Source organism: Homo sapiens, chromosome 5, assembly GCF_000001405.40.
Source record: "Homo sapiens chromosome 5, GRCh38.p14 Primary Assembly".
Classification (NCBI taxonomy): domain Eukaryota; kingdom Metazoa; phylum Chordata; class Mammalia; order Primates; family Hominidae; genus Homo; species Homo sapiens.
The window spans coordinates 95,391,201-95,417,848 of record NC_000005.10 but is presented as its reverse complement, the minus strand read 5'-3'; the positions used below and the strand labels follow the sequence as shown (position 1 = coordinate 95,417,848).

At 38.5% G+C, this 26,648-nt stretch overlaps 1 protein-coding gene across 6 annotated transcripts in view, besides 1 other annotated feature; it reads right to left on the bottom strand.

The window, feature by feature from the left end:
- The window catches only part of FAM81B (family with sequence similarity 81 member B), a 59,076-nt gene extending 32,593 nt beyond the window's left edge, over positions 1-26,483 (bottom strand). For 4 of the 6 annotated variants that reach the window (NM_152548.3, XM_011543207.2, XM_047416821.1 and 1 more), the window contains exons 1-4: positions 26,336-26,483; positions 24,952-25,055; positions 21,674-21,738; positions 3,659-3,902 (exon numbers count right to left, since the gene is read on the bottom strand). In NM_152548.3, the coding sequence (NP_689761.2) occupies positions 3,659-3,902; positions 21,674-21,738; positions 24,952-25,055; positions 26,336-26,459 (537 nt within the window). In that variant the 5' untranslated portion in view covers positions 26,460-26,483. Of the gene's footprint in view, positions 1-3,658; positions 3,903-6,905; positions 7,082-11,540; positions 11,563-21,673; positions 21,739-24,951; positions 25,056-26,335 lie in introns of those variants that run through there. The other 2 variants (XM_011543209.2, XM_011543210.3) reach the window with 2 other exon arrangements.
- Positions 24,466-25,323: an enhancer, noted in NCBI's record as "OCT4-NANOG hESC enhancer chr5:94728230-94729087 (GRCh37/hg19 assembly coordinates)". NCBI's record gives its function as "activates a minimal SCP1, AML or CMV promoter by ChIP-STARR-seq in naive H9 embryonic stem cells {active_cell/tissue: H9 hESC(naive)}" and the evidence as "EXISTENCE:reporter gene assay evidence [ECO:0000049][PMID:30033119]".
- Positions 26,484-26,648: the final 165 nt, after the last annotated feature.

Sequence of the window (26,648 nt, the reverse complement as noted above, 5' to 3'; positions counted from 1 at the left end):
GGTTTCAGTGATGTACTGCAAGCAGCCTGGAGCCGTATGTGAAAGTGGATTGTATACATCTCTTCTCATCTTTGTGTACAGTGTCATCTTGCTGGTTGTTTGAAATCATAGGAGTATTTACACCATAGAAATAGGAAAATACTACAAACCAGGCTCTCTTTTCCCCTAGAAAAGAACTGATTGCTGATTGTTAAACACTTACTACCATATTACCAGTTATTATTTCTAATATGTAAAATAAAAGAGCTCGTCAAATCAACAAAATTTAAAAGTACTAAAACTCAAAAGATAAATTAACAAAAGACATAAATCATTAGAAGAAGAAATGAAGCTGTCACTTTATTATTATTAATTTTGTTGTTGTTGTTGTAGAGACAGAGTCTCACTGTCTCAAACTCTTGGCCTCAAGCAATCCTCCCAAGTCAGCCCCCTAAACCACTGGGATCACAGTTGTGAGCCACAGGCACTCAGCCAAAATTGTTACTTTAAATAGTCACTTTAAAAAAGTGGATTCAACACTTTCACTAAGAAAAAAAATCTTATTTCTGTTCCATGAAGTTAGCAAAAATTAAAGTGATAAATTTCAATTCTGGCATAGGTAAAGTGGAAAAAAAGCACTCAAATAATGCTAATGGAAGTGTAAATTAGTATAAACTTTCCGGAAAACAATTTGGCAACATGTATCAAGAGCTTTCACAGTATTCATACCTTAGTAATTCCACTTCTAAGAATAGATACTATGGAAATAATCCAAACGCAGATACATATTTATGCACAAAGATATTTCTTTCTTAAATTATTTTTATTTTGAGACAGGGTCTCCGTCGCCCAGGCTGGAGTGCAGTGGCATGATCATGGCTCACTGCAGCCTTCACCTCTTGGGCTCAGGTAATCCTCCCACCTCAGCCTCCCAAGGAGCTGTGTCTATAGGCGTGCACTACCCTACCCAGCTAATTATTTATTTTTTCTTGTAGAGACAGGGTGTCACTATGTTACCCAGGCTGTTCTCAAACTCCTGGGCTCAATTGGTCCTACTGCCTCAGCCCCCCAAAGTGATATTTCGACATTAGGACAATAATTAAGCAAATCATGGTGTATGCACCATGCAAAGAGATTTTAATGAGACATGATAGAGTTTAGGATGAATGTTAGAATAAAAATCATGCTTACAAACATAGTCTCAGCCTCCTAAATGGAATACTTGGAAGGACTAAAGGGAGATTCATCTGGGTATTTGTAGAGATCACCATTTGGTGGTTGAATTGTGAGATATTTTTTCCCCAAGTTTAAACATTTTTTTCCTAAACTTTCAAAATAATTATGATGAACAAGTATTGCTTTTGTAAGTTGAGGGGAAAACCCACAGTAAAACAATGCTATATATAAAATTTTCTTTGAGTTAAAAATAAATTAATTCTAAAACTTGTAATCAACTGCCTTCTTAAAAAAAGGAATCATTTGATTTTTAAAAAGAAACAAGCACTTTGATGCAATTGTGGTAGATTAAAAAAATTTTTTTTTCATTTCATTTATGGACCTGTGTCAAGCTTTAGCTCACACTTGAATTGATCTTGATAGCCAACTTGCAAATGGGCTGACCTGGTTAATGAGGTTAGGTTCTTTTAAAATACTTGAATAGCATCCATTTCTCTATAAAGTGCATATAGTTATTTACTAAAGGTAGCTGAATAGTTTCTTCTTCATAATGTTTTAACTATGTTATCTACAGCCTTTAAAATATTTTCTAGTTCAATTTTCCACAAACTCAATCCAGTCCTTTTCATTTTCCTATATATGCCAAACCCTTAATAGGATTGTAGGTATTTTGAGATTTTTGTCTTTGTCTTTTGGAAAATGTTTTGGATTTGTCTTTTTTTAGAGAGCTAATCTAAGATAGTCAATTATTACAGAAAAATAAACTGTTTACAAGATTTCTAGAGATTTGAAAGAAAGACTTTCTCCTTATTGCTAATAGTATTTTACTGGGGTATAATATGTATTGAACGCACAAGTCAAAGTGTACATCTGGGCGGATCTTGACTCAATGTAATGTAATCAACCATATAACAATCCAGATCAAAATATAGAATATTCTTAGAAACAGTTCAATGTTTCTAAGAATGTTGTTGGCTTTTTCAATTACCAAGAAGTTTTGACTCCTAAATTGGAATCTTATTTTAGCACTATGCTGTACTTACTTGATTTTCTAGTCATTTCAAAAGGCACAGGGCTGCTTGCCTCTTGTCACTTTCATGATACTTCATTATGCATGGAAATACCTTTAATCACTTTGAGAGTGGCATTGACCTTTGAAGCACTGAGGTCAATTCAAAATGTGCTAAATACCAATAAAGTGCTTTTTAAAAGTTCACTGAGAGTTTTAACTTTTCACACTGCCTCAGGTACATTATGGGGTCTGTTAAACCCTGCAGATGGAAAATGAATTAATCAATATCCTTGCCCTTAAGAACAAATTCACAAAGGAGTAATTGCTGGTTCAATCCCATAATTTTAATAAAATCCAGTATTCTCTTTGATAGTAGAAAAGGACAAGTATCGTGAGACTGCATTGTTGTCAATTCTCATGATAACTCCACAAGTTTTGGGCCAGTTTCCTAAAGTACACTATCTGTAGCCCTTGCATGAAAATTGTTAACCCAGATTCATCACGTACATCTGCACCCTAGCAACTCTCGAAGACCTCTTACACAAGCATGTTTCTCTTGATTTAGACAAAGAATTTTCTTTTTTTGATGAGAAACTCTATTTTTACTCTAATGCCTTAAAATTAATTAATTTATTCATTCATCAATTTAAGGAATATTTAGAGTGCTGACTACAACACCACTGTTGTCTGGTATGGGATATGGGATTTAGCATGAAGAAAACAAACTCTTTGACTTTATAGAGATTATATCTTAGAAAGAGAAAACAAACAGGAATCAAATATAGACCATGGTAGTTTGCAATGAGTGCTATGTGACAAAAAAAATAAAGTAGGCTTTAAGGGAGATTGAAACCATGTGGGTAGAGGTGCTATTTTATAAAATGTCATGCAAATCCTCTGTTACGAGGCTATATTTGAACAGAAACCTGGAGGAATGAAGCACGTTGCATAGGAATATCTAGGGGAAGATGATCCAGCCAGAGTGAATTATGAGTGCAAAGACCCCAAGGCCAGAATGTGTTTGGAATGTCCTAGGAACAGCTGGGAGGCCAGTGTGGCCAGAGTGAAGGAAAGAAGGGTAGAAGACGGGGCTAGAGAAATTGCTGGCATCAGATTGCAATGGCTATACAATGGAGCGTTACTGATGTGCATTATGAAAACCTCTATTTGAAGTTATTGCATTAATAGAATCTTGGAGATTTAGGCTAACATAAGCATCTTAGCACAATGTCTGACATAATGTCTTTGTTGTCACAAAATAAATATACAGTAAATATTTTTTGAATAGAAGTTCCTTCTACTTTTTGGCATAAATGAACAGCTGAAAAATTGAACTGTTTCCCTCTTAGACCACTAAAATGTAATCATCTAAACTTAAGCAATAGTGATATATTTCTGCACTTGAAAAATGACACTGATGGTTGATAATCTTTATCAAGCAATGCTGCCAAAATACAAAACAAAAACAAAATAAAACAAAAAGAGAACTACCTCAATATTTTGGCTGAGTTTTTTGACGATGCTGGTGATGGTCTGGATGTGGCTTTCCAGTAACTTCCTGGCGAGCGATTCCTCTTTTCGAAAGCCATGGGTCCCCTGCAGGCAAGCAGAGATGTCCTCCTTGATGCGGAAGGCTTGTTCAAGAAGGAAAGCTATGGTACGCGCCTGGTTGTTCAGTCTGTCTTCTAGCTGACCTCTCTGGGTGTTTGGAATGATGGGGAGAAAAGCATGACTCCTGATCAGAAAAAGGAAAAGGAAACACCAGGGCATTACAAGAATGAGCTGGAGGAGCCAGGAACCAGAACTAGAATCCTCACTTCTGATCCTTTATTTTTGCCCTGTGAGAAGTTTGATAGGATTTTAAGCACTTGCCATGGTTAGAATTTGGTGAAGGTCTCATCTAAGAAGCAGATGCACTTTTCATGCTTCAAGCCAATTGGTGGTAGTTAGGAGTGGGTAGAGGCATTCATGAAAGAAGATGTTAGAAGCCTTCTTCCAAGACTGACGCCTTTATATACCCCTTATGAAAATTCTACTTTAACGTAGAAAAAATTAAGTTTTTATAACTATAAAGATGCAAAAGTGACTGTGTTAGAGAGTTTTCCAAGGTGTGAGTCCTGGAATAGGAGTCAGGAGGATAGGCCACCACAAAAGAATTCTATGATCAAATACACTTAGAAAACCTTGCATATGATGTCTCTCCCTTAGAGATTCACATTGTACATTTTCATATTGTCTAACAGAATTATTCTAATTTCATAGTTAAGGAAATTAGTTCATGAATGGTACCAATCATAATCCCAAAAGACATAATCTCAAACATTGAAATTCCTAAAGTTTAAAATCCCTTGACTGGATTAAGGGATACCTAGAACCTGGTGTAGCAGTGTATCTTGTGAGGGTGTTTCCAGAGGAGATTAGTGTGTGAGTCTGAGTGCACAACGTGAGAAAGATCTATTCTCAATGTTTTGAGTGTTTCGAAAATCATAGAAAAAGTAAAAACACAGGTGAAAAATATAACAAATGTCCCCTGTCAAATGATTCAATCATGTATGACTTCTGCCCCTTCACACATAGTGCCATGCTTGCCTTCAAAAAACACTCTTCATCAGAGAATAAAAAGAATTCCACAAGCTGAGCAACATTCTGAACCAAAGATGCTTGCCGATATAGAGGTTCCTCCAGTGTTCTGAAACTCATTGAGTGATGAAATATTCTTAGTTTGGGATTTGACTGTCAAAGAAGATAGACTTCCTATATTTGCCACTAAATCTAACATAGACAACCTAGTGCATCCTTCACTTTGGCTGAGGAATGACACTTTGAAAATCGTCCCCATCTTTCTTATCAACTGTATGCCATCATGCCCCAGTTGGATCCAAACATTCTTGAACTTACCTGCTTCTTTATATATTAATGACTGGAAAAAGTAAAGCACTTTATAAACATTTATTTGAAGATTTGGTGGACTTTGCAGAAGAAAATGGATTTTAGTAGAATCCCCAAACCATGACAGATTTGGAATTAAGTCCCTTCAAGGCTTCTAAAAGTGAATCTCAAGGTGTCATCAATAAAATTTGTTTTTGTCATTCAGCCCAATGCATATGGTGAAAAATTCAGACAAGTGAATTGGCCACCCCATATGGTTTAAAAATATTTCATTTGTTTGCAGTGGCATTCCTCCCAGCTAATGACATTTTAGGAAATTTTAATGAATTAAAGCCACATTTGCCTGAAGAAGCCAGCAAAGTTACCAACTGGTTCAAATATAATTATGCACATAGTAAGATAAGAAGACACACAATAGTGTGACTATTTGATTATCAGTATTGCTTCTGCATATGAGTGCATGTGGAATGAATTTCTGTGTACCGAAAACAGCATAGAAAAATTATGCAAAGATGGAAATATTTAATAGGGATTGCTCATGTTGGTGTATGTCGAATCATAGAAGAATTTCAAAAAGAGCAGTGCTATGTGGAAAAGGAATGAAATGTGAACATATTCTCTGACGAGAGTCATGTCTTAAAAAAAAAAGCAGCAATTCATTGCCATGCAAGACTTCAAAATATGACTGTGAATGTTGGCCAGCTCTAATGGACTACCTCCAGGCAATTGCCCATAATGTATCCCTGTAATATACTTTTTCAAACGTTGAATTTTCTTTCTAGTTCTTTCCCACTATCTTAAATTGTCAGCATTGTTATTATTACTTTTCACAATTTGCTATGCTGTGTATTTCATCTTCACATCATTTGCAGTACTGGAGTATAAATTGTATAAAGACTTTCAGAAAGTTCTAATTTGTTTTATGTATATTTTGTCAATTTGACTCCACAAAAGTGCATTATCACAACATTGACTTTGTGTGTAAGCATTGTGTATGTAAAAATGTTGAAACTTCCCCAATAAATGAAGAGATGTCCTTTTTTGTACAACTGCATTTGTGAAAGATAAAATTTCTTAAGATCTCAGCTCTTTGTGCAATTGCATATGCCGTAGTGACTCATTGAAGTTTTGGATCAATCTTATCAAAAGACTTAGGTTATCGTCATGGTGTTTCAGATGACTACAGTTATAAAGCTGGTTGCATAAAATTACCATAGTGTTATGCATTTATACATTTTGAATCTTGACTTATTTCTTTATGAATATGGTTCATCCACTTATAACATTATACCCATATGACTGTTGTTAGTATACCTGTATGTTTATGCTTGTAAAAATACAAATGTTACTATTGCCTATTTTATTATGTAAAGTGGCCTGTGAAATGCTCTGTCATGTTTTTATATGTTTCTAAAATAAATCTCCTTTTATAAATGTGAAGAAATGTCTTTTAAATTATTTTTTCCAGAATTATATTTTGGGGATTTAGATCTTTTTGGGATTTCCACATTTGGTATTATGACATTCAGGATTGTGTTTTTTTGGGATTATCAAACCCGTTAATGGAATAGTTAACTGGTCCTAGGTCATCCAAAGCCCATGTGTTAAAACACTTGCTTATATAGTCCCCAAATACAGGTTATTTCCAAAGCCCTTATGTGTACTGATTTCTGACCCTATACCAAGTCACATTTTTTATACATGAACATGACAACATTCCTTCAAATCTATATAACTGAGTGAGAGGTTTACTTTAAATTTGTCTTTAATGCTATTAAATTTCTTGGGGATTTCTTACTATCCTGTGACCCAGTAGAAGGGGCTGCGGGTTTTCTCTCTTTAATCTTACCTGCTTAGTACACTGAATTTCTGCACGAATTTTTATTTGAAGAAATGTTTCAATGTCTCAGAACTATTTATTTGGTAGAGCCAGGATTAGCTCTAGGTCACCTGTAACTTAGCCTAGGATGTTTTCCATGTTGCCGCCTCTGAATGGTAGCAAATTATGTTGTGAAGATCACTGGAAAGAGAAGTCAGCCTTAAGGAAAAGGAGATTTGGCCTTTATTAGGGCCTGGAAATAAAATGATGAATACGACAGATAAAGCCCCTGCCCTCTTGGAAATATATATTTGTACCTATATACTTATGTAGATGTATAGATATATAGTATATATCTTTTAAAAATGACTATTATATATGCTGGATCATAAAAAGCCAAGGCCAAATAATTCATGCTTGTTCCCATTGCATGAGCCAAAATAACTATTTGCTTTAGGCCAATAGTGACAGATTTTCTTGGAAGTGAAAATGTCCTCGGGACAGCAGATTTTAGGGCCAGATTGTGAACATTAGCATTTTCTGGACTGCGGGTTTCAGCTGGGGTTGTGTTTAGCTGTGTTTATCAGAAATCCAGAGAGAGTGACTGAAGCAAGTAGGGTTTGTTTGGCTCAAGTAACAAGAAGTGGAGAGGTAGAGCAGCTGACTGAGGAAGTCATCAGGTGCCCAGCTCCTTCCGGCTTCCTGGCCCACTCATAGTATGTGACCTTTACCCTCAGGTCTCAAGGTTGTTGTTCCACCTTGAACTATTGTGTCCCCATTCCCGATAGAAAAGACAGAAGGCAAAAAGTAAAATAAAATGTGTGCATCTGTTGAGTTTGTCCCCACCCGTCCTTTTTTAAATCGAGATAGCCTTTCTAAAAGACTCACTATGACACTTTTGTCTATATTTCATTGGCTGAAGCTATGTCATATAGCCACCTCTTATACCTTATTTTGTTTTGTTTGTAGCCTTAAACAAAATTGGGACTTTTATTAGCAAAGAGGAAGGAGAAAACGTCTACTGGATTGACTACTGGTGGTATTTGCCATATGCAATTTTCCTCCTTTTTACCTCCAATTTGATATCAAGTATCTCTGCCAAAGGAATTTAAAAAATAAGAAGTTTGTTTCTTCCCTGTTGGTTGTTTGCTTTCTGAGGATTAATCTGTAGCTAAGTTTTTTTGGGCAATGCCAGAAGCTGGCTAAAGTTTGGCCACAGATATAATTTTATTACCCTAGTGATGGATGGTTGCTCACAAGGATCAGTGTGTGTGGATGGCGAGGCTTCAACTGCCCAGTGAAGGTCAGCAGAATCTGGTTGGCTTATAAAGGAAGAAGAGGGGCTCATGCTATGCAGGTAAATAAAATATAGAAATATATTACTTCTTTTTAATTTAGTAGCTCTGTAATTTCATCTTTATAAAACTGCTCAAAAGAAATATAATGTAAACCTTATAGACAATTTTAAACTTTCTAATAGCCACATTAAGAAAAATTCTTTAAAAACTGATGACAGGCCAGGCGTGGTGGCTCACACCTGTAATCCCAGCAGTTTGGGAGGCTGAGGTGGGCAGATCACTTGAGGTCAGGAATTTGAAACCAGCCTGGCCAACATGGTGAAACCCCATCTCTACTAAAAATAGAAAAGTTAGCCGGATGTGGTGGCACACGCTTGTAGTCCCAGACGCTCGGGAGGCAGAGGCACAAGAATCACTTGAACCCGCAAGGTGGAGGTTGCAGTGAGCCGAGATTGAGGTACCACACTCCAGCCTGGGCGACAGAGCGAGACTCCATCTCAGAAAACAAAATAAAACAAAACAAAAACTGATAATGTTAATTTTAACAATATAATTTATTTAAACCGTTATATCTAAAATGTCATTGTAACATGTAATCAATGTGAACTTTTTAATGGAATATTTTACATTCTTTTTAAAGATAAGTCTTTGAAGTCCAGTGTGTATTATACACTTATAGCACAACTTCTCAATTTGGACTAGCCACATTTCAAGTGCTCAACAGGCACATGTGGCCAGTGGCTACTGTTTGGGATAACATAATTCTAGAACCTGAGAATCAGAAAGAGGGAAGAAAACGTCACTGAGCAGTCAAAAACATTACCACCGTGTCCATACACTACTCCTGCACTTTATAAATAGTTATAGCTAGTATCTTTGAGCATTTAATACAAGCCAGACCTTGTGGCTAGCACTTTAAATGAGTCATCTATTGAATCTTCATGATAACACCATGGAGGGTCTATTAATATTACCCTGTTTTTAACGATAATAAAACTGAGGCTTAGAAAGATTGAATAACTTTTGTCCGAGTTTACCCAGCTAACAACAGTGGACCAGTATTCAAGCCTAAGCAGTCTGAAGTTCATACTACATTACATGCAGAGAAGAGGTCCCCTCCAAACTCTGCCTCCAAATCATCCCTGGAATGTGCTTCCTGCTCAATTTACCCACTATTCTAACAAACCAAGTTGGATGATTTCCGGGTCCATACAAATGTAATACCTGATAATTCTATGTTGAGGAGAGGGCTGCCTACTAACAGATGAAAGAAATCACAGATTAAAGGCAAAGATGAGCAAAAGAGTCAGAAGTTCAACGAAAAGTAAACAAAGTAAATTAGAAATGGGAGAAGACAAAGGCCAGGGCTATTTCATGTACAGGCAAAGAAACTTAAAAATCCTGATACCCTCTCTTGGCCTTAATATATTACTCCTTCCCTTCACTGATCAGTTTCTTGAAGAAGCAAGCTAGTTTTGTTGTGCCTTTCAATATGTGTGGTTTGCTCCTCACCCTATGATAATCAGATTCTTCTCTTTCTCTCTCTTCCTCCCTCCTTCCCTCCTCTCTCTCTCTCTCTCTCTCTCTCTCTCTCTCTCTCATTTTGGGGGAAGCCAACTGCCATATTGAATAGCCCTGTGGAGAGGTCCACATGGTGAGGAACTGAAAACTCCTGACAACAGCCAGCAAGAGTCTGGGGTGTCGACCAAGAGCTATATGAGTGAACTATCCTAGAATTCCTGATCCTGAGAAACTGTGAGATAAATATTCGCTGTTTTATGCCGCTGAGTTTTGAGATACTTTGCTACACAGCAATGGATAACTAACATGGACAGTAATCTACATGAAAAAATGAGGAAGGTCTGAGACTCAGATGGTGATCTTGGACATAAAGAAGGAGAATACATGTTGCAGATATTATAAACCTAGAAGTTGTAGAACTTTGAGATAGATTGGAAATGAGCCTGAAGGAGGGAGAGATTCTGATGTTTTGGATTTGAGCTTAATGTATGATGCCACTTTTCATCAACACTGAAAATTCAGACAAAAAACAGTTAGGTTTTGGGGGAAGAAAACAAATTTGGGATTTAGTATATGGCATCTCTCTAGAGATGCCCCTTGAACAGTCTGAAATGTGTCTGAAGACAGAGATTTGGATGTTATCAGAGAAGTAAATGGTGGTTGAAGACTTAGGTGAAGAAAATGAGATTGCCTGAGCTGGCAGGTGTGCGTGTGTGTTTGTGTGCGCGCACGCGTGTGTGTGTGCGTGTGTGTGTGTGTGTGTAAAAGAGAACAGGCATTTTTGGAATCACTCAGGTAGCTTTCAATGGTGGTTGAAGACTTAGGTGAAGAAAATGAGATTGCCTGAGCTGGCAGATGTGCGTGTGTGTGTGTGTGTGTGTGTGTGTGTGTGTAAAAGAGAACAGGCATTTTTGGAATCACTCAGGTAGCTTTCAAAAGGAAGAGTTGCACCACCACTGCTCACCTTGGCTCCTACCCCATCCCACATACTTCAACTGTCTGGTGGGGTGGGGGCCTAGGACCTGAGAAATGATGGGGGATTCTGTGGGACTCACAGAGCAGACTTTGGTCCCATGGAAAATATTGCCATCCCCCATGCCCAGGGGTCCTGTTGTCTCTGCAGAGCCAGCACACCTCTACTTGGCTCTGGCTGGGTCTTCAGAGGACTCATTCAGCTTCAGCCTCCTGGGAAAATAAAGCTTTCAGCAAGCAATACAGAATTGAGAGTTAGTGAGAACATGGGAGCTAAAGTAAATCGGCCCCAGAGGGATATGACAGCTCATGTGAGACAAAGTGCAGAAAGAAAGGAAATGAGTTAGACAGTTATTCAGAGGTTAAAAAAAATCCCGGGCTGACTATGGTTTTGACAAAAATGTTGAATAAATGTGGCTTCCCATCCTGTCTCCCTTACAAAATCCTGAAGGACTTGGAGAAAGTGAAAAACCCCTGGGGTGGTGGGGGCTATTTTAAACTGGTGCGTGTGTGGGTGGTGCTGTGGATGCCGTGATGTGCCACCCAGCTCCCCGTTCAGGAAGGAAGGACTTATACCCCCCAACTGTTGGGAGTGCTGCCAGCTGGCAGACTTCAGCTGTTAGCTTTCTCTGAGAACTGCCTTGTCAAGGTCATGCCCACTTTCTGGGGCAGCTTTATTCAGTGATTGGACAGTGTGTGGGTATAAAGGCCTGGCATGCTTGGTCTAACTCTGGACAACTTTGAAGGGCTGTCCCAGCTCCAGAGCTTCCTGTGAAGTTGGTTGAAGTCTTCTTTGGCTCAACTGTTGGAGCCATGGTACCTAATATATATAAAATCCATATATAACTAATTGAAGTTAGTTGGCTCAACTCACTTCATATAGTTCAACTATTCCTTCTGTTCAGTTCCATTCATTTCCCTTCCCTTCCACAGGTGTTGATCCCAGTGTGCTCTGTAATAAGCCTTCTATTCGCCAATCTCCATCTCAGAGTCTGTTCCCTGGGCAACCCAACCTGAATCAGATGGCTGCGTTGGCCTGGGACAAGAGATAGCTTGGGAGGGCTGTGGGAAGATAAAATAGGGAAAGGGAACAACATAAGTCTGCTCTTCTTCTCTATTTCCTTGGGACCAGTTGTTCTGACTCCGTGAAATGTCAAACTATTCTAGGTGTCCTCTAAAGAAAGATTAGGCAGGGCAGAGGGACTGTGTTGGTAAGGAATTGGAGCAGTAACAATAACAAGAAACTTGGGGAACAATTGACTTTGGGGAGTTGCTGCCACCTTGTTTCACTTCTAAATGTCCACAGGGTGGGAAAGCAAGTGTTCTCCTAAACCTGCTTCTTCCTGGGGAGCAAAAGGTGAAGACCTGACAGGAGAAGTTATTTTGTGGAATAGGGAGTGGTTTTCTGGTGCCTGGGGCTCATCCACACCCCACCCCTGGACTCACTGGAGCTGACAAGGCTCCATTGGAGACCAGGATCTGGCTGAAATGCCCAGGGGAAATGAGTTCAAAGGCCAGATTAACAGGACTTTTGAGGAGCACAGCCTTTTTAAAAGTAATTAACCTACAAATAAACAACCTAGTAGATTACAGATTCCCACAGAAGAGAAATATTAAAATGTACACAATAAATTTCTAAAAGGCTATTAAACATATTAAGAGAGAAGACAACAGAAGATATTAGTAAAATAAGAAAAACTAGAAAACGTAAAAAGTAAGTAGAACCATTAGGTATGGAAAATATAATTGAAATAAAAAATAAAAGGTAGGATAAATATAACAGAAAAAATAGCTAAAGAATGAATTAGTGATTTAGAAGACCAGACTGAGGAAATTTACCAGACAGAACAAGGAATGGTCACACAACTTGGAGATTCAGGGTCACGATTTGAAACTCACAGATTCCAAAATCAAATGTTAACATTAGCTCCCACATTTTCTCATCATTCCAACAATAAGCAGGGGGACATTAATGCTAGTCATGTGACCTAATAGGGTAGCTGCAGAAATAACACCCAGCAGTATTCTTAGGCTCCAAACCCACGGTTATTTTAGTTCTTTCTTCCTTTCTTGATCCTGGCCACCATTATCTTTTCCACTTTTCCTCCTAACAAATAGCACATCCTCCATACAGCAGCTAGAGTGGTCTTTCTAAAGTGTAAATGGTAGCCCTTGACTACTTAAAACCTTCCTATGGCTTATCCATTCTCTCAGAATAAAATCTTATCTCTCCTTTCTAACCTCATTTCCTCCCATTCTTCCCTCCATTTATCTCATTCAACCACATAGGCCTTCTCTCATAATACCCCATTTTATCTTCTAGAAAGCATTTGTCATTATCTAAAATTATCTTATTTACTTGTTTCTGTTTATTGTCTATCCTCCATCACTAGAATGAGAGCTCCCTATGTGAGGCACTTTTCTAGCATGTTCTGCACAGTCCCCCAACATTGAGAAGAATGTGTGGCACATAGTAGGCAGTCAATAAATATTTGTTGATTGACAGACTGATTTCTCTACCTGGACTGTTCCCTTAAGGCTCAGTTGTTGGAAAACTGGACCAAAAAAAAGTGGCTCCATAAAGTCACAGCTTGTTGGAGCCTCAAGACATAGTTTACTCTCTTGAGCAATATAAAATAGTCTCAGCCTGGGTGAGATTCTTCTTTTCTTTTTTTTTTTTCAAATTGAATATTTCATTAACATGGTAGTTTTTGTAACATGTGCACACACACTCGCACACTCAGAGAGATTCTTCTTTTCTATCACCTGGAAATCTGAGGTGCAAAGAAAACTTTGCCAAGGGGTTTTGTGAGTCAGATTGCATTTACCACTCATTTGGTTCAAAAATGTTCTTTTGGAAAATCACCAAATGGTACCTACCATATATAAAATCCATTCCCCTAAAACCCCCACCATGCTGTCAGTGCTACCCTGGATTGGATGTATGAGTCAGAGGCAGAAGGGAAGAAGATGCCAGGCTCTGCTGAAGGTGACACATAGCCTAGTGGTGGACTGCAGATTTGCTCATTATTTTCTTTGAGCCAGTGCTGCTTTGTGGCCTCTAGACAATCTATATCCCAGATTTGCCAGCAAAGGTATTTGGTCTCCCGGTTTTCAGTCTTGTACAGACACTTATAAATTATGCTTCATTTCCCCCCAAATTTAGAAATTGTTTTCTCCTAGATGTTCTCAGTATGGCAGATACCATTGGTTACCCTCCCAACAGCCACCCCCAACTTCTGCCTGACTTGATTCATCCTTCCTGTCCCCCATGTCCTTCTGAGGGGCAAACTAATCATAAAGATTCCATTCTTCTGGGTTGAGATGCAATTGGTTATGGTAAGAGCATGTGAAGCAATTCTGGCCCATGAGATGCAAAGAGAAACCTGCTATGGGGCTTCTGGATAAAGTGTCTTTGCCTTCAAGAAGGGATACACAGAAGAAACTTCCCTCTTCTTCGCTGAATGTTGTCCTGTCTGTGCATGATGCTTGGAACTACCAAAGGCATCTTGTGATCATGAGGAAAAAGGAAATGGCAGAGAGAAAGAATAAAAAAAACCACCTGGCTGCTTAATGATGTTCTGAAGCTACTAAATTTACCAAACTCTGGATTTTTTTTGTTATATGAGCTAATCAGTATTTCTACATTTAAACCATTTTTGGTTAGTGCTTCTATTATGTGCAGCTGAAAGCATTGTGTCTGTATCTAGTCACTTACCAATAAAAATGTCATTTCAAATAAAGATACATTAAGTACTTACTAAATATTTACTCTAGTTCATATACAATATTTACTCTAGTCCATACACACATTTACTCTAGTCCATACCTGTAATACTACATATTTACATATAATGGCTCTGTTCCTCAAGGAACTTAAGTTAATTCAGTATTTCTTATACTTGAATTGGTATCACAGGGGAGGGTGAGGGAGGGAAGCTGTTAAAATACAGATTACTCCACTCCAACACAAACCTACTGAATCAAAATTTTAGGGTAGGCGGGGAGAGTAAGAATATGCATTTTAAGCAAGCGCATAGGTGATTCTAATGTATCCTAAAGACTAAACACCACTGATTTGTTCAAGACTGGTCATGTGAATCAGCGAATAATATAAGGCAGGATATATAATGAAGTGCTAAAGTAGTGAACTATGGAATATGAGCTCTCAAGTTCTGTAGACATCCAGAAGCAGCTTGGCAGGTTGGAAAGCAAGGTAGACTGAGGGTAGAACACAGGCTCCACCACTTACCAACCGAGTGTTCTAATTGCTTCATCTGTAAACAGGGCCAACAAGGCCTATTTTGCTGTGTGGTTGTAAGTTCTGAGACAATAAGTGAGATGCATGCAGTAGAGAGGGTGGTGAAACCAATGCCACACACCTGTATGTCTGAGGTTAAGAGGGTCCCAGGGCCTCACTCTTGCGGGTGAGGTGCTATTGGCTAATGTCAAGATTATATCCAGAGAGAGCAATGCGAGGGCAGACCCAAGCCAGCAGGTCTGTGGTCTTGTCTGTCAGGGCTGATTTCAATGCTGTGGCTATTTGGCCCATCGAAGGAAGACTTTTAGGAGGGTATCACCTACTGCTATGCAAAGCTATTTGCCTGCAACCATGGAGACATTAAGTGGGATGCAAATGCTGGACTGTAGTTATTTCTTCTCCTAAATTTTTAAAGATTATTTTTAAAATTTATTTTATGTTTAAGTGGAGAGCTTTCCTTTTTGAAATTCCTTTTCAGGCCTGGGATTTACTATTAACTGTAGTCTTATTATTATTGCTAATTCTTAAGGTTTAATGAAGCACCAAATGATGGCTCTGTTTGGTTTTATTTACATGGTTCCTGAAGATCAACAGACAGCTTATATTTTTTCCCTATTTGCATTGCCACAAGGACAGAGAATATTGTTTTCCAATTGACCTTTCTAAATCAACCATGGAAGAACAAACACATGAGCATGTCTCAATTTTCTAAGAGAGATTCCTGACGAGGCCATTATTCAAATCATTAGGTATTCCTAAGGGATAAAAACTGAGGGCTTTCCCTAGTAGTAAGATGTAAATTTAAGAACCTCACTGCTTTCTTAGTATGTTATGTATGTCAGTGGGACCTAGATCTAAATTTAACTATGAAAGGAAAGAAATAACTGGATATTCCAGACTAGTGCAGATGGAGTCACCAACCACAGGAGGAAAAATTCCTAGGGGGCCTTTTCAGAGAGATATTTGGGCTTCACATAGATCATTGATTATGTAGCTGACAACTGAATCTGAACAGATTTTCCACAAACTCTGAGTTCTATTTTTCTGTAATTCGGTGTGACTTACACCAGCTGTGCTGTAGCTGGCAGATCAGCCGGTACATGGAGCCTCTCACTTCCCTGCCTGTTCTGTTCTTGTGAATAGAGCCCTAAATTTACTGGGGAGATTCTGGTAACCATTTTGGCAACCTGTAATACTCAGAGAATCAAACTTGAAAATTTAAACCTTTTTCTAGAACACAAAAAGGCATACCGAAGAAAGATTTCTACATTTTTATGAGATCTAATATATGACTAGTTACGGTCTGAGTGCAGAGAGTCCTACAAAAAAAAAACCTGAAGTGAAATCTCAGAGAATATTTTGATGCCTCACAAAAATAATCTATGAGTGTGTGTGGGGAGTGATGAAATAGAAAAAACATTTTCTATAGTTTCTGTGTTGCTTGTTTATAACCACCCTGGCAAGTGGATGTTTGTAGCTGGAGAGACTTCCACTGCTGAGTTTTAGGTAGGGCTGAATGCTCTGGGGGGTGAGGCAGGCAATTTGAGTTCTGGTGGGCCCAGTGCAGAAGGAAGTACACCAGGCCAACAGGGCTGGGCCAGCACAGAGCATCAGGAAGGGCCCAAAAAGAACTCCATATAGTGGCACGGTCCAGAAGAGACTGGAGAAAGAACTGGTTGTGATTCTTTTCCAGTGAAAAGTGATGCGCTCTATAAGGCAGACTCCTCATGTTCAGCAAAATTTTTAGTAAGATTGCAAAATGAGTGATGTGCCTGGTACGATTGGTTTTCCTTCATGTGGAGGCATCAAGGTTGACAAAGGTTCCAAACAGAGTCCCTGTATCAGTGAGGGCAGGGTGGATGTCTGGGTCATACTTACAGGTGAAGCATATGCAAACTGCAGTAGCAAATTGTTTTGATGATGTTGGGAGTTCCTGTAGCATTTGTGGCCCTCTTGAGATACCTTCCCATATTACTTTGGTCTTTGGGGGTGGGGGTGGGGAGTGTTTAATGTGAGTCTCCAGGGGAAAGAACGCTGTACTTGGAGTCAGAAGACTTGGGTTCAAGTTCTATCTCTGTCACAAGCTAACTTCAACCTCTCTGAGGTTGCCCGGAAGAGGGCTCCCTCTCTGTTCTGTGGAGAGAGGGACTCCTGACCCTCCCACCTGGCTGACGAGATCAAGTTAAAGGATGTGTACCTGAAATACTCTGCAATGTCTTGTAAATATGTCTTGTACAATGTTGTATATATGTGTTCTTACAATAATTTATAATTATTAAATATTGTTATGGGTTGAATTGTGTCCCCCCAAAAGAAACAGTGAAGTCTTAAAGCTTAATACCTCAGTATGTGACCTTATTTGGAAATTGGGTCTTGCAGATATAATTAGTTAAGGTGAGGTCCTACTGGAGTAGAGTGGGCCCCTAATCCAGCATGGCTGGTGTCGATGTGAAGATGCCTGTATGTATGTATGTGTGTGTGTGTGTGTATGTATGTATGTATGTATGTATGTATGTATGTGAAGGTGGCTGTAGGAAGACAGAAACACAGGGAGATACCATGTAAAGATGGAGGCAGAGATTGGACTGACACATCTACAAGCCAAGGAGTGCCAGGGACTCCCAAAAGTCACCAAAAGCTAGGCAGGAGACAAGGAACAGGTTCCCCTTGGAGCCCTCAGAAGGAACCAGTCCTGCTGGCACTTTGATTTCAGACCTCCAACCTCCAGAATTGTGAGGTAATACATTTCTATTGTTTAAAGCCACGCAGTTTGTGGTAGGGAGCTCCTAGCCCAGGAGAAATGTAAGGAATTTATTATAACACTATCTTATTTCTATTTAGTGCTTATAGTCAATGTATCATTTTCATTGCATTCCCACCACTACCCTGTGGCATGAGTAAAATTTGTCTCTACTTAGGAGGAAACTGAGGCATGGAGGCTATGAGTCACTCAGCAGCGAAACATTTTAGTTAGCCTCTCCTCTTTCTCCTACATCACAGCAGCTTTGCTTAGGCCAGTTAGTGGCTCTTCCTGTTACATTTGCACTTTTCTCAGAGGAGAAAGGTGTGTCTTTCCCTCTGCTTCTTCATATGTAACTTGCTGCCAACATCATGTAATTTTTCACCAAGTCACCTTTCCTGCCTGGCTCCCATCTCTCCTCGGAGTCCTAAGGGTCTTCTCAGAGGCCCAGAGGTTGGTGGGGGCTCCCTCTGTGCTCTAGAGAACTGAGATCAGCATCAGCCTGACCTCAGTGGAGTTCTCACGCTTGAGCAGAAGGTCTTAAATGTGACAAGAATCCAGACAGCCTCTTAGGAGGGACTGATCATCATTTGGGCAGCCCCTTCCCTTACTAATTGGGGGTCCCTATGGGTAATGCCCAATCCCTGTGACTGTGCCCACTCTCAGCAGAGCCTTGCCCATCACAGGTGGGTGGGGGGGGGCATGAAAAGAAGAAAGAGAAAGACCAAAAGACTGCACTGTGGCTGATAGTAGCACCATCCAACCTAACATGATCTATCCATAGAAAGTTCAACCAACAGAGTTTTGTCTTCCTTTCTCATGCATTGTAATGTGAAATATCTCTCTTCACCATGTAGTAACAAAAGCAATGCATCACGGAATAATAAAGTGTCTGCCATGGTGCTAAGAAAAACCTTGAAAATGAATACTTTCAGACCCTGAATTCCATATTCTACTCATGAGGGGAAGTCATTAATCATTTATTATTTTGCCCATTTGACTTGCTGAAAGTTTTATGTATCCAGATTTTAAATATCATTCTTTGGCTGTCAGCCAGACCCTCATCTTCACAAAATGTACTCTTGAGAGAATTCCTGAGTTATATATTGGCTATAGCCCAGCCTGGAAAACTCAGTAAAAATCCTCAGTTCCTTGGCCTCCTTTTTGTTCAGGAAAGTTGGAATTTGCCTCATGGGCAGCAGAAACTCAGGATTCATTTTCTCCAGAGACTTTCAAATAGAATCCCAGATGCTATCATAGTTCCAATTTGTATTTCCCTCCTTTTCACCCTAGCCATCCTTGCCCCCTTTCTGTTCCTGCTACACCGTAAGAATATTCCTGCCTTCGAAACTTTGCTCTTCCCCTAGATGTCCATATGGACAAATTCCTCACTTCCTGGTCTTTTCTCAAATGTCAGATTCTTAATGAGGCCTACCCCGGCCAGCTATCTAATAATTCATTTCTCTCCTTCCTGCTAGAATGGCTCCAAACGCATTATTAGATAGCTCCCTGAGGGACTGGATTTTTACTTTTTGAGTTGTTATTCTTTGCTCATAGTATTACCTGTAAATATACCCATATAGGTTTTAAGGCCAAACCTCTGAAAACCTGTAATATAAACTCAGGCCATTTAATGAGTTGATAATGACTTTTACTTAAGTACTCTGTTTGCATGTCAATCCATTTGTTGTCACCCAATGAAAACTATGAGTTGAAGGCTGAAGTTTTTTATTTATTTATTTATTTATTTATTTATTTATTTAGAGATTGAGTTTCACTCTGTGACCCAGGCAGGAGTGCAGTGGTACACTCTCCATTCACTGCAACCTCCACCTCCCGGGTTCAAGTGATTCTCCTGCCTCAGCCTCTCGAGTAGCTGGGATTACAGGTGCACGCCACCATGCCCGGCTAATTTTTGTATATTTAGTAGAGATGGGGTTTCACCATGTTGGCTAGGCTGGTCTTCAACTCCTGACATCAGGTGATCTGCCCACCTCTGCCTCCCAAAGTGCTGGGATTATAGATGTGAGCCACTGTGCCTGGCCAGTGAAGTTATTTTAAAAACCATTGTTCTTTATTTTTATTTTATTGGATTGAATATGTCAATTCAAAATGTCTGCACTTATTACTGAAATGCCCAAATGCCATTTTGCTTTTCCAGTTAATCAGCTGATTTAAGCAAAGCTATAACAATTCAATTGTTCTACCATTACTTTCCATTAAATCTGTCAACTACAGTTCATCAAGTGTATTCAGTACATCATGATAGGCTACTGGAGGGATATCAAAAATCATAAGGCCATAGAGTGCCTTCCTTTAGGGAGTTTGCAGCCTGTTCTGAGAGATGCGAAGAGAGAGACCAAAAGACAATTAACAATGTGAAATCATAAATAGAAAGTTCCAGATATATGGTTTAGATAGTAAGAGAAGGGGTAAGGGAGAGATTAAGGTAGAAATAAATGTTGGAGTGAAGTAATCTTTATCATGCTTTTGCTTTGCATTATAGACTATTTCTTCCTCTTTGTCTTCATTTTAATTTATCTGAAAGCCAAAGAAATCCAAAAAGTTTATCTTCTGCTGCTTAAGTTTGTTACCATTTTCCAGGAATTTATTTTCTCATCTCCTGGGATGTACATCACCAGCTTGAGCTAAAGAAATCCACACAGGTTTGTAATAGAATTTGACGGATCAGAAGAATGATTTTTATTTTCCATTTGTCATGTAGAGAGTCAGGTGGGGACAAGTTTCCCTTTTCTCCTTGGAAGATAAGGTTAGCTAATACATTTATTTATAATAATTATTTTTGTGCATACTACATTCATTGTCCTTAACTCAGAAGAAAAGTCATCTGTCCAAATATTGCATTTTTTAAACATTTAAAAATATTTTTCCCATGCTTAGTTTTATTTTTTTCTAAATCATAGACTCATAGTCATATAAACAAATACAAGTTATGTGGAACATGAAAAAAGGGGCTAACGCTAACATACTGTGATTGAACTATTTGGAATGTATTAAATTTAACTGGCCAAGGGACAGGGGAATTCTTGTGAAAAAAATGCAGTAAAAATTAGTGAAGAAATCTTATCATCTTAATTGTTAAAGATAATTTTTAAAAAATCGAAGTTCAAGGTGTATTTAGATTTTTCTCTTCACATGAACTCATTTCATTCATTTGGCTATTTTTTTCTTCTGTGGTCATGATTATTAAAATCAGAATTATTTTAAAGCTGCAGTAGTTTCTAGTCCAACCTCTTTGTTTTTCAAATGAAAAAACTAAAGCCCAGAGACATTATGGAACTGACTGGTGTTACACAGCAAAGTAGTAGAAGGACTGACACTAAATCCCCAGTGCCCTGAAAACATGAATGACAGCATTAGACCAAATCCTGCTTTGACATATGGAATAGAAAACAACTCAAATTAATATGCATTGCCTTTGCAATGCCACCTTCATCACTGGCATCCTTGGGTATTTTGGACAATGTGCATGTGTTAACAGTGTGTTACTCTATTTCCAAGTGCCTGGAGTTGTCCCTCTGTGGTACACCTTTCCTGGGGGAGCTCCAGGTATGGCACTGTAAATAGCAGAAACAACATCTTCTAGTGATTAGTGAAATATATCTCAAAATTTCCTGAGTTTTTATCATGAAATGTTAACAGCTTTACTTGGTTTATTTTGAAGTCAATAGTTAGCTATATCTGATATTGTTGCAATATGCAATATGTTGTATTGCTTTTCACATAAATCTACAGGAACCTATGGAGGTCATTTAAAGAAAAGGTAGTTAAATCTGCTTGTTCTGTCAATCAGAAAGGAACAGGATCAGGTTTGTCTTTCTGACATGATTTAATCTCTTCTGAATGCAGAGAACTTAAAGGTTTCATTCAGGTACATTCATCTCTGACTGAATAATTAAACACAGGATTTTTTCTTTTTTGCGTGTGAGATTTGTCACAATAAATGCAGTTAATAGTTAAAACTAGTTGTAATTTACACACTTACTTGTCAACATATTCAACTAGATCTGTAGAATTCTTGGTTGACATTTTGGCTGGAGATAATCTTACCTAAAACAAAGGTTACAGATTCAGAATATATCATCTGCTTCTTTACAGATTACTTCTATGCAGTTTATCTTTAAAGAGTTTTAATTTTAAACAAAATGTATACCATAGACCAGATAATCAGCTCAGTTAATCTTACACATGTCCCCTTTGTATTGCTAATGACTAAAAACAAAATTAAGTTCTGTGGAGATACTAGAGAGCTGTATTTCATAGATTTGGTATCACAGTCAAGAAAACCTTTTTGGAAAAGTCAAAGCCATAGATTATTCTTAGATAATTTTAAAATGAAATATCTAATGATTATTGACTGAGTTACTAAAGAAGTCTTCACAGAGTGGATGATTCCTGACATGCTGATTTCTAAGGAGAAACAGCTAATTTTCAAACACAAAGCCCCGAACTAGAAAACTAGCCTATCCAAGTACCTGGATGTCAGATTATTATAGCCAGAGCAGTCATACACATGATTTACCAACATTAAGTATAGCTGGCCATATGTACACTTAACTGGCAACTTCTAATTCAATAAAATGGTACTACTAGAAAGTTCTATTTTCATGAAAGTTGATAATTTGCAGCATTTTTATGACAGGAAAGAAGATACCCAATGTACTCACTGTTTTTCATATCTCAAAAATGCCTTAAATTCTTTTTTTTTTTTTTTTTTTGAGACGGGGTCTCGCTCTGTCGCCCAGGCTGGAGTGCAGTGGCGCAATCTCCACTCACTGCAAGCTCCGCCTCCCGGGTTCACACCAGTCTCCTGCCTCAGCCTCCTGCGTAGCTGGGACGACAGGCGCCCGCCACCACGCCTGGCTAAATTTTTTTTTGTATTTTTAGTAGAGATGGGGTTTTACCATGTTAGCCAGGATGGTCTCGATCTCCTGACCTTGTGATCCGCCTGCCTCAGCCTCCCGAAGTGCTGGGATTACAGGCGTGAGCCACAGCGCCCAGCCGAAAATGCCTTAAATTCTAATGTTCTTTTAAGTTTAAAAAAACAAGACAGATTTATCCTAATTTTAATAGCCTATTGGTGAACTGGATTCAATATGGAGAATATGAGTGGTATTCCACCTCAGTTAAAAACTTTAACAAAATATATTCCTAGGATATTTTTTCTTGCTTTATGTTACTGTGTACTATAATGGTGGGCAGAATATGTTAAGACTCACATACAGAAAGCATTCCTTTTTCAAATGCCCAAGGAATTACTACTTCTTAAGTTTTAAGAAACTTAATTGGATACCTCACTCCTTCAAAAAACCTTAAAAAAATGTGAAGTCCATTTTCAGGGATGCTGTAAAGAACGCCTGACAAAGTCTCTCCTGACCCAGCCCTGTTGGTGGTGGGCAGGCAGAAAAGGCTCGAGGCTGCTCACGAGGGAGCCTGTGAACCCCCAGGAGAGAGCTTGTACCCTCCCCGCATTGCTGAATGGGGTCTGCAATGGGTCTAATGCTGTTAAGCCACGTCTTCCCCTCGAGAATGGATCTACTGATTCACTGGGCACTCAGGTGGCCACGTTATGGAAACTTTCCTAAGTCAGAGGACCTGATGCCTTCTGCCGTGGAGAGTGTTTTCACTCCTGTTTCCCACTGAAACAGTACTGAGTCCTGAGACCTCACCTACTTCATTGCCAGTTCTTTCCTCCTCACCTTTCCACTGCTCCCTCTGGTCTGTGTGGGGATCTATTTTTGGCATTTCCTCAGCAACCGGTTGGTCCCTCCTTATATGTTTGGAGAGTAGTCCTCTCCAAGTATTTGTGGAATTAAAGTGTATGATGAATACAGTGTCCAAGGGCACTAACTTGTCCTCCTTTCTCCTTCTGAAGTGTAACAATTAGATCTATGTTTTATTTTTATTTTATTAATTTTTAAGTCTTACTTGAAAGACCACAAGTAGCATCTTCTTAAAAACACACCTACAACACACACTATTTAAGTGACAAATGTTAAGCATAACAATGGAGGAATATTTGGAAAAGTATAGAAAAGTTAAAGATACAGAATAAAAATTCTCGCTTGTAATTTTGCTACCTAGAACAAAAGCCACTGATGTTGGCTTTTGGTGCAATTTTTTAAATGTAATTTTTAGGTATCTAAGACAGTATTTAAATTTTTATATCTTTGCTAATTGAACATAAGAGTCAGTTCTGTTTTATCCTCATTCCTATAAGCTAGGATGTTATTATATATAAAAACTGTCTCACAAACAACTTGATGGCCACTATGGGAATTTTTTTACATATATCAGTTTTATCCATTTCATAATAATGCTTTGAATGTTATAGCTTTTTGGTTTTATGGGCTATGAAATACGTTCTTGTATATGACATAATTTTATTTGACATGAATGCCCTATAAAGTGGATATCATTACCTTCCCATTAGTGTAAGGATGACATTAGTTACCTTAAGAAGCTGAAACCCTTATTATGGAAAGAAATTAAGATGACTATTTTTTATAGGTGAGGAGCTTCAGGATCAGAGAAGTACGGGACTTGCCCAAGATCATGTAGATGATGATGATAATCATACTGTAGCCCTTCCTACTTGCTAAGCACTTACTTAAGTGACTCATTCAAACCCACAATAACTTTGTATGATAAGCCTAATTCACCCATTTTACAGAAGAAGAAACAGAGGTTAAGTAATCATTCCAAAGTCCCACAGCTAGTATGTGGTACAGCCTATTATATAATACATACCAAAAATCAATGTTTGATATTGTGCTAGTGCTTTATGTAACAAGTGACTGCATCTGCCTCTTGTTATGTAAATTACAAGGTGTTAAGAGAAGTGCAAAAAAAGTCTAAAAACACTGCTTTAAAAAATGTTCTTTTTAACGGAGAAGATACGACAAGTTCTAATAAAGGAAACATTCTATTTAGCTATACCGGTTTTCATGTTAGAGATAAAGATAAAGTCTGCACCTTGAGTTTATCATGGTTCCTTTTGAATCATCATAAAACATACATAATGATCAACTTAAAAGAATTTTAGCCCCATATATTAAAAATCAGTCTAATTAATGAAATTGTAAATTGAGGTCATTTTTCTTTTCAGCTTGTGTTTTCAGCAGCCATTTTGCCAAGACAGAACAAACAGGAAATGTGGGAGAACTATTCTTCCAGAACTTCTTAAACTCTCTAAGCACTCTAAACTTTAAAGAAGCTGAGCAAAGTATTCTACTTTTAATGTGAATATTGAAAAGTACTTGCTTTCTTTTCTTGGTTATTGTCTGAGCCAGGAAGGGGGCCATCAGGTTCAACTGGCTGTTCCTCTGCAGTCGCAGTTGGAGAGGCACTTTTGTTTACATTTGTATCTAGGTAACCAGAATGCTGAATCAGGTCAGGAACTATGACAAGTGAATTTTTGCAGTGCTGCTAATTTTTTTTTAATTGAGGGCAGTTTCTGTACATATAGCTTGGCTTAAAGGGAGGCTTTCAATTTGCTTTACATTTCCCCTCTCCTCACTTATCCCAATTCTCCCCCATCCCCCCATAACATCTATAGTTAGCTAGAAGAGCATTTCTTTACAGATACTTCTATAAGACCTTTAGAAACTTTTTTAGGATCAGACAGCTCTAAAATAATCAGGAATGTATTTTTTTTAAATTATACTTTAAGTCCTGGGATACACGTGCAGAACATGCAGGTTTGTTACGTAGGTATACACGTGCCATGGTGGTTTGCTGCACCCATCAGCCCATCATCTACATTAGGTATTTCTCCTAATACTATTCCTCCTCTAGCCCCCAACCCCCAACAGGCCCCAGTGTGTGATGTTCCCCTCCCTGTGTCCATGTGTTCTCATTGTTCAACTCCCACTTGTGAGTGAGAACATGTGGTGTTTGGTTTTCCGTTCCTGTGTTAGTTTGCTGAGAATGATGGTTTCCAGCTTCATCCATGTCCCTGCAAAGGGACATGAACTCATCCTTTTTTATGGCTGCATAGTATTCCATGGTGTATATGTGCGGCATTTTCTTTATCCAGTCTATCATTGATGGGCATTTGGGTTGGTTCCAAGTCTTTGCTATTGTGAACAGTGCTGCAATAAACATACGTGTGCATGTGTCTTTATAGTAGAATGATTTATAGTCCTTTGGGTATATACCCATTAATGGGATTGCTGGATCAAATGGTATTTCTAGTTCTAGATCCTTGAGGAATCACCTCACTGTCTTCCACATGGTTGAACTAATTTACACTCCCACCAACAGTATAAAAGCGTTCCTATTTCTCCACATCCTCCCCAGCATCTGTTGTTTCCTGACTTTTTAATGGTTACTATTCTAACTGGCATGAGATGGTATCTCATTGTAGTTTTGATTTGCATTTCTGTAATGACAAGTGATGATGAGCTTTTTCTCGTATGTTTTGGCTGCATAAATGTCTTCTTTTGAGAAGTGTCTGTTCACATCCTTTGCCCACTTTTTGATGGGGTTTTTTTTTCTTGTACATTTGTTTAAGTTATTACTCTGTTGTGCCCAAGCCTTCTGAGGGTCTTCATTGGGATTCATTATTTTGTTTATATGTAATAAGAAACAGAAGAAAGATAGTGAAGTAGGAGAAATTTAGAGACCTCGAATAGTCCATAAGTACCTGAACTCATGATGCTTGCTTTTCCAGCTTTATTTTTTGTAGATTTGATATTTTTGAAAAACAATCTCTGTGATTTTTTTCTTTTTTCTGAGGAAGCCAATGTACCAAGGAATTGTAATTGCATCCTAACTAAGGTCTTCCTGTTTCTGGGGCCTCTTCCCAAGGGTGACTTAGTAGCATTGTGACTGCAGGAAGGATCTATGATGTCAGTGTGGCTGGCCCTCACAACTGAAGTCAGGAAATCCCTGGGATTTAGAAGCTTTGAATGTTTTCTGTAGTGCTCATCATCATACAAATCACTAAGCCTTTCACT